Source organism: Homo sapiens, chromosome 10 (genome assembly GCF_000001405.40).
Source record: "Homo sapiens chromosome 10, GRCh38.p14 Primary Assembly".
Classification (NCBI taxonomy): Eukaryota; Metazoa; Chordata; class Mammalia; order Primates; family Hominidae; genus Homo; species Homo sapiens.
Window position 1 is genome coordinate 44,746,862 of NC_000010.11, and position 8,091 is coordinate 44,754,952.

General features: G+C 41.0%; 2 annotated features.

The window, feature by feature from the left end:
* Positions 6,346 to 6,546: a silencer, noted in NCBI's record as "peak937 fragment used in MPRA reporter construct". NCBI's record gives its function as "represses an SCP1 promoter by STARR-seq MPRAs in K562 erythroleukemia cells {active_cell/tissue: K562}" and the evidence as "EXISTENCE:reporter gene assay evidence [ECO:0000049][PMID:32103011]".
* Positions 6,506 to 6,706: a silencer, noted in NCBI's record as "peak938 fragment used in MPRA reporter construct". NCBI's record gives its function as "represses an SCP1 promoter by STARR-seq MPRAs in K562 erythroleukemia cells {active_cell/tissue: K562}" and the evidence as "EXISTENCE:reporter gene assay evidence [ECO:0000049][PMID:32103011]".

Consider the following 8,091-nt stretch of genomic DNA (forward strand, 5'->3'; position numbering starts at 1 on the left):
ATCAATTTAAGGAACAGAACCACAAAGCACATAAGAAAAAGGAGACAGAAGCATGTTTTGAGATGAACCATCTACTATTTACCAAAGAGTTAATTTAAGCATGAATATGTTCCCAAAACTGTAATAAAATACATATTATATACACAAATTATGATTCTGGTGTTAACTATTTACTTCCTTAAAACATTAACAAAGCACTGAGCTAAAGAGGCCCCAGGGAGTATCTGAATTCCAGTCTGGTTCCAGGTCCCCCTCTTCTTATGCATCAATTCTCTTTCTGATTACAACCCACCCAGTGCACAAAGAATCATGAACTGATCTCTTCTTTAAATCAGAGCTGTACAACCAATTAAGAAAGCTTCAGACTGCTACTGCGCAAACCCTCCATTCTCAAAATAAATACTGCATTTCTCAACCATAAATATATATGGGAAGAAAAGTATCCTTTAATATCCAACAGCAGAATTTTTCCCAGGGACAGATTGTGTTACTGAGGAATACACTTTAGTGGATGTGTTTTGAGAGGTAAGCATTTGACAAAGAAACAAGCAGTGATTGCCTACGGTGGGGAAGCACATTAAATCCCTGGATGGCTGCATCTGAATATGGTTGCAGGCAGAGAGTTTAGACAGATTGGTCCATGTAATGAACAAGGCTCTTTGGAGCCAAAAGCAACCAACAAGGGACACAGATAAGGAGGTCTTGGAGACCAAGCACAGTATTTAGAGTATCAGTATAGTGGGCAGCAGAGCCTAGGAGACCACTCAAAACTTCTCAGAGAAAAATGTCTGCAGGACTGCTAATAACAGGGAAGTCTAGTGTTCAAGTTTCCATTGCTCAATGTGCTTTTGTCTGCTGTAATCTTTACTATCGCCCCTCCTTTGGTAAAGTCACTTCACATACAGCCTGGATGTGGTGGCACTGGGGAAATAAAAGTATTTTATTGGTGCAGGATTTTTCTCAGCCCCTTCATTGGATTCGCAACAGGGTGCCCCATTTACTCAGCCCACCGCACTTAACCACTTGCAGGAGGAAGCATGTAAAGCGAGTGAGTGCAAGATCCAGCCAGCTGCTCCAGGCACCAGTGGAAACAAGCTCCATGCAGGGCCCACGGCCGCACCCAGGTGGGGGTGCCTGTGACCCCAAAGCCCCAGAGAGAGTGTTGCAGTGCTCTCTTAGCTCCTCCATCTGCAGATGGCTGTGTGTTAACAGCTTAGTTGGCCCGTTGCCTCATTGCACCAGGGGGCTTCCCTCTGCCAGTGAGAGCAAAGGGCCGATGTGACAGCCTTTTGTGTACCCGCCCTCAGTGGGTCCTGAGCTCTTGTCCAGCATCCAAGAAGAATGAGGTCATGCAGACACCTGAAGGATGGTGAAGGTAGATAATTTTATTAAATGATGGAAATGGCTTTCAGCAAAGAGGGGAGCTGGAAAGGGGATGGGAAGGGCAGATTGTCTTCCCCAAAGTCAGGTCTCTTCTCCCTGAAGTCCGACTGTCTTTTCCCTGAAGTAAAGCCATCTCTCTTCCCCAAAGTGAGGCCATCTCTCCTCTCTATCTACTGAGTCTGGGGTCTTTATAGGCACAGGATGGGGGCAGGGTGGGCTGTAGGTAGTTTTGGAAAAGGCAACATTTGACTGGTAAAAAGACATTATTCAGAAAGAACCAATCAGGAGAGAGCAGGCAAACAAAAATAGAAGTTCTCACTTTGGGCTATGGGTTTCAGGCTACTTTTGCTTGAAGATGGGGTTTCACTGGGGACCCACCCATGTCTGCCTAGAATTCCTTTGCCTCCTGCCTCTATGAACATGATGTGAGAAAAGGAGAACAGAGGCTGGAACTCAGGGCCAGTTGTGAGAGAGGAGGTAGAGTAGCCCTGAATACCTTGAGATGTTGAAATAGACATAAATGGTGTGTGGGAGCCCAGGGTGAGTGAGTTTTACTTAAGAATGGAGAGTGGGGTTACTTTGGTAGCTGAAAAACTTGGTTTTGCCCAGTAGCTAGTATCTGGGTTGTCTTCCCAGATATAGTTTTTTTTTTTTATTAAATTATGTTCACTCACTCAGGAGATATATGTTTTAAGAACACGACTACAAAACCCATGAAGCCACCACTTAGGTTAAGAAATAGAACATTATGAGTACCTTAGAAGCCCCCAGTGTGCCAGTGGTATCCCTTTTCCCAACAAGGCATAAGCACTATCTTGACTTGTGTATTAATCATTTCTTCACTTTTCTGTATTGTATCTTTAAATAACATATTATCCAGGTGTGAAAACTGAGTAGCAACCTCTGGCCAGCTATTTAAGGACACATGGCCCCCAGCAGCTGAAGGCTCTTAGGAAGAGCTAAGATGAACAGTTTCCACTCAGTGAATGACTGCTCTTCCCCTAAGCATTCACTGGAATGCCTCTCGGGACAGACTCCTCCGGCTATGGTCATGGACCGCGTCCTTGACCATCTGAGAGAAGTGCAATAGTCGGAAATGCAGGAGCCACAGCTCTTCTGATTGTAAATGCGCTGAGAGGACATTCCACAAAACTGTCCAAGTGGGGCCAGCCTTTAATCCAGGCTGAGGTCCTAGGAACCGAGGCTGAGGCTGGGCTACTGTTCACTGTGGATGTGAGGCCAAGGAAGCCACAAGAGAGAACGGGGATCTGGAAAGGAAAGAGGCTGCCTGAAAGGAAGTGGCTCCACAGGAGACCTCAAGGCAGGGTGGCACAGGGCAGGGTTCCACAGCAGCTAACGGAACAAGTGTGGCAACATGGACATGTAAGCACATGATTTACTACTTAGACTGACTGAGCAGAGTCCACAGAATGGAATGTCCAGGCACCTTTAAACAAAACTGGAGGCCCCTGCCTGCTCTCCTTCCCATCCAAGATGGTCGGTGTGGTCTTACTACTCACCTTGTTTCCTAGGCCCGTATTTAGTTCCCTCCAAAATGTCATAATAGTAAATGGGCTAATGTGTTGCCTTTCCATGATATTTTATGGCAATAGGTGGAGTTAAGCTGACTTATCTGCTTCACGTTTTTGCTTCACAGCAGAGGTCTCTTCATTTGATTCTCTTTTATGTGTCTACTTCTTTATAAATACTGTGAAATGTGAGACCTATATTTTTATAGTACTTTTTCTCTATATGCAATGCAATTCTTGAAATATTTGGATTATTAACAAATTTTTAATTGTTTTCTAATAACTGTATTTGTGCTTTCTTTCCCCCAATTTTTCTGCTTTCTCTGGTTTTAATTGGCCATTTTATATAATTCCATTTTATATCCTCTCAGTGTGTGAATTATAATTCTATTTTTTATTTTATAGTAATTGCCATAGGTTTTCCAATATTCATCTATATCTAATCTAAGTTTACCTTCAGATCACACTATAGAGCTTCATATGCAGTGCAAGTACCAGAATATTTCTAATTTCTCCCTCCCACAAGTTATCACATTACTGCCATTCATTGGTCACTGCCAAGGGCTGGAGGGAGGGGTGACAGCTAATGGATATGGGGTATCTAAATATTTTGTAATTATTAATAGATAGTGGTAATTTGTTAATATCCAAATATTTCAAGAATCACATTGCATATAGATAAAAAAGTAATATAAAAATATAGGTCTCACATTTTACAGTATTTTAGAAACAAGTCAATAACCTGGTTTCATGTGAATACACAAAAAACCTCTGAATCACACACTTTAAATGGTTAAATTTTGTAGTGAATTATATCTCAATAAAGGTATTATTAACAAAAGCTCACATATTGTATGATCCTGTGTATATAATATTTTGAAATGACATTATAGAAATGGAAAACAAATGAGTGGTTCCCAGGTATTATGAATGGGGGGAGGGAAAGGGGACACAGGTGGGTGTGGTTATAAAAGGGCCACAAGGTGATCTTCGTGGTGCCAGAGATGTCCAGGAGTTTCTGTGACAGTGGATACATGTGATTACAAATGTAATAAAATTAGATACAACTAAGTACATCCACAAATGAGCACAAGGAAAACTGGAGACATTTGAATAAAATCAGTGGGTCGTATCAATGTCAATAACCTGATTGTGACATTATACTATAATTTTGCAAGTGGTCACCACTGGGGGAAACTGTGGGGGTACATGGGATCTCTCTGTTATTTCTAACAACTGAGTGTGAATTTACAATTATCTTAAAATAAAATTTTAATTTAAAAAAGGTATAAATCAACCAAGATGTCCTAGGTGAATAGATAAATATGCTGTGGTACGTTTATATGATGGGCTATTATTGAGGACTAAAAAGAAATGAGCTATCCAGCCACAAAAGACATGGAAGAAGTGTAAAGGCATATTATGAAGTGAAAGTAGACAATCTGAAAAGGCTTCATACACTATGATTCCAACTATCTGACATTCTGGAAAAGGCAAAACCATAGAGGCACTAAAAAGATCAGGTACTGCCAGGGCTGGGCAGACAAAAGGATGACTAGGTAGAGCATATGGGATTTAGGGAAATAAAACTATCCTGGTATATTCATACTATAGTGGTAGATAAATCACATTCTGTGTTGTTAAAACCCATAGAATGTACACCAGTGAAGTCTAATGGACTCTGGGTGACAATGGTGCATTGATGTTGGTTCACCAATTGTCATGAGTGAGCCCTCTGGAAGAGAATGCTGATGGTGAGGGAGGCTGGAGGGTTGCCGGGGGTAATGTGTGTGGGAACTCTCTGTACTTGCCAGTCAACTTTGCTGTGAAGCTAAAACTACTCTAAAAAATAAATGCTATTAATTTTTTTAAGCAAAGAGTGAAAAGCAGTCCACCCAGTTTCTTTTTCTTTCTTTCTTTCTTTCTTTCTTTCTTTCTTTCTTTCTTTCTTTCTTTCTTTCTTTCTCTCTCTCTCTCTTTCTTTCTTTCATGAACACTACCATAGTGGAAGCTACCTTACTCATGCTTGAGTCAACCTGCTGAATTGATTAATGTTTCCCATTCTCTCTTCAAATATATTGAACAACGTATACGGCAATGCAGAAAACTTGGGACTAGAAAACCATTCATTAGCATGTGTACAAATTTCTGCACCTTCCAGAAGAGTTTGCCTCAATTATATGTTATTATGTGATAATCAAGTATTATTAAATTGATATACCAGTATGAAAAGAGAGCTGTTGAATATAATGAAATTAAGCTGGATATTTTGGAAGAACTCTATACAGCCAAGTTTTAAGGAAATTCTTCTCAAATTGGGAATGAGAGAAACAACAGCAAAGTATTGAAAAAAGTTTATTTCAAAAACTTCAGCAAAATTCTGTACCTACATTGCTTTGCAAGAGTTCTGCTTTAAATAATTGCACATTATTATAGGTATGGTTTATGCAAGAAAGATGATGCAGCACAACTTGGTCTCATTTACCTGTCTGAAGTTGAAAGAAAATGGTTATGGTTAACATGTTAAACTTTATAATTTCAGCATTACCTCTGTATTCTGATGAGACAGCCCTAGTCATGATAACTGTGAGAATTTGTGCTTGACATTTTCTACATGGTTCAGGTACATGGGGGTCTAATTGTGCTGAAATGCAGATGTGCCATACCCACAGATGATGCCTTTAGAACTCTGTCAACCTGTGTCGAACCCTTCTGAGGAGAATCTGAACAATGTCATCTGAACCTTGGGTAATTCGCAGTCTATAAATTCCAGACCATTTTCAATGTAGGGCCCTCATTACAAGACAGGGCATCAGGCCTCAAAAACATCTGTGAGTCAGGTCCTGTGGGCTTTGCCACTGTCTCCAGCACACAATTCAAAGATGAGATGATATATGCCTATGTAGACACAGAAGGGGCAGTCATGGAGGGACAAGAAAGGCTTTTTTCATGGCTTTGTAACACTATTGAAGTTTTTTTTTAACAAAATCTACCTACAGGTTTCAGAGCCATGGAAACATGATCCATGGTTCCTTTCGATGTTCTTTTCATTGTGCTTTCCAAGGACTATTGACATTTCATCCATAACAGCAGGGTATGTTTTTAATGGGTTGGTAGAAAACATACTTATCCAAATATAGGCCTCGTGGTATATTTGTCATGCAACTTGGCCTTGCAGTTGGAGTTGAAAGCTGCTGCTGTCAAAGGAAATATTTGGGTGACTCAGCCAAGAAAGCAGTTTATTGGTTTTGGCAGCAGACAATAGGTGAATATTTCATGGAGGAGAGAGGTTTTAATAGTTGTTTATACAATCTGCCCAGCCATGGCCAAGGTTGTTTAGATTGGTGAATTGAACAATATTTCATTCCTCATGAGCCTGCTGACTTCTGTTGATGGGTTGATGATGCCACTATTTGCTTTACATGATTGGGGTAAATTTCTCACTTCACCAATATAGTCTCCAGCTCCCTGGAGGAGCAACATCTAGGGTTTGGGGCATCTGTGCTAGACAAGCTCCTTTAGTCCTCTGCCAATTTGGCAGGAGCCTACAGAAAATTCCTGCTGCACCTTTTTAATGATTGTGGAAGTCTACATAGCTCAGTGACTCTGGTTAGAGTGCATTTTATCACAAGAGCTTGCCTGTGTGTGTGAGTAGATTACAGCATGTCGGCTACCCACTTTCCCAGGGAGGCTGGATGCACTGGATATGCACAGTAAGGACACCCTGGTCTACGGTGCTGGGAAGGTCAGATAAATTGGTATGACATGTCAGAAGCCATAGCATTTACAATTATAGTATGCAAAACATGCTCACACACACACAGACACAGAAATGAGTCAATGGGTCTGAGAAGCCATGGGGTATATTTTAAAGGGCATTTCCTTAAAACACAGACGGTCAGGATTCTACTATCAATATTTACCACCTTTGTGACTTTGAGTAGCTCCCTGTGTAGGAAGGAACCTCAGTTTCCAGCGTATGTTAGGGGGTTTGGAGAGTTGGCTTTTAAGCCATCATCCAGATTTGACATTCTATGATGAAAAGAAAAACTCTGAAGCAAAGTGCTTTGATCATAGGACTAAGAAGAGTAAGATTTAGATGGAGAAGACTTTAGTGAAATATCAGAGGACAACAGGCATTTGTGTTCTACAGAATGAGCATAGGCTGAGGAGAAGGAACCAGCCCCACCTTTGCTGGCCATATGGCCAAGTGCAGGTCTGGGTCAATGAAACCAGAACAACAATGCCTGCCTCACCTGGACACAGGGGACTGGTGGAGCTCGAGTGAAGACACACTCTGTAGAGGAGAAAACACTGTACATATGTGAGAGGAATGTATCTGCGTATTTGCAGCACTAAAATGGCTTGCCCAGTGCAGTCCATGGTGATTCATGTACCTTTTACCATCTTTTTTAAAATTATTATTATACATTAAGTTCTGGGATTCATGTGCAGAACGTGCAGATTTGTTACATAGGTATACATATGCCATTGTGGTTTGCTGCACCCATCAACCCGTCATCTAGGTTTTAAGCCCTGCATGCATTAGGTATCTGTCTTAATGCTCTCCCTCCCCTTGCCCCCCACCCCCTGACAGGTCCCAGTCTGTGATGTTCCCCTCCCTGTGTCCATGTGTTCTTATTGTTCAACTCCCACTTATGAGTGAGAACATGCGGTGTTTGCTTTTCTGTTCCTGTGTTAGTTTGCTGAGAATAATAGTTTTCAGCTTCATCTACGTCCCTGCAAAAGACATGAATTCATTCTTTTTTATGGCTGCATAGTATTCCATGGTGTATATGTACCAAATTTACAAGAAAAAAACAAACAACCCCATCAAAAAGTGGGCAAAGGATATGAACAGACACTTCTCAAAAGAAGACATTTATGCAGCCAATAAACATATGAAAAAAAGCTCATCATCACTGGTCATTAGAGATATGCAAATCAAAACCACAATGAGATACAATCTCACACCAATTACTATGGCAATCATTAAAAAGTCAGGAAACAACAGATGCTGGAGAGGATGTGGAGAAATAGGAACCCTTTTACACTGTTGGTGGGAGTGTAAATTAGTTCAACCATTGTGGAAGACAGTGTGCGATTCCTCAAGGATCTAGAACCAGAAATACTATTTGACCCAGCAATCCTATTACTGGGTATATACCCAAAGAATTAT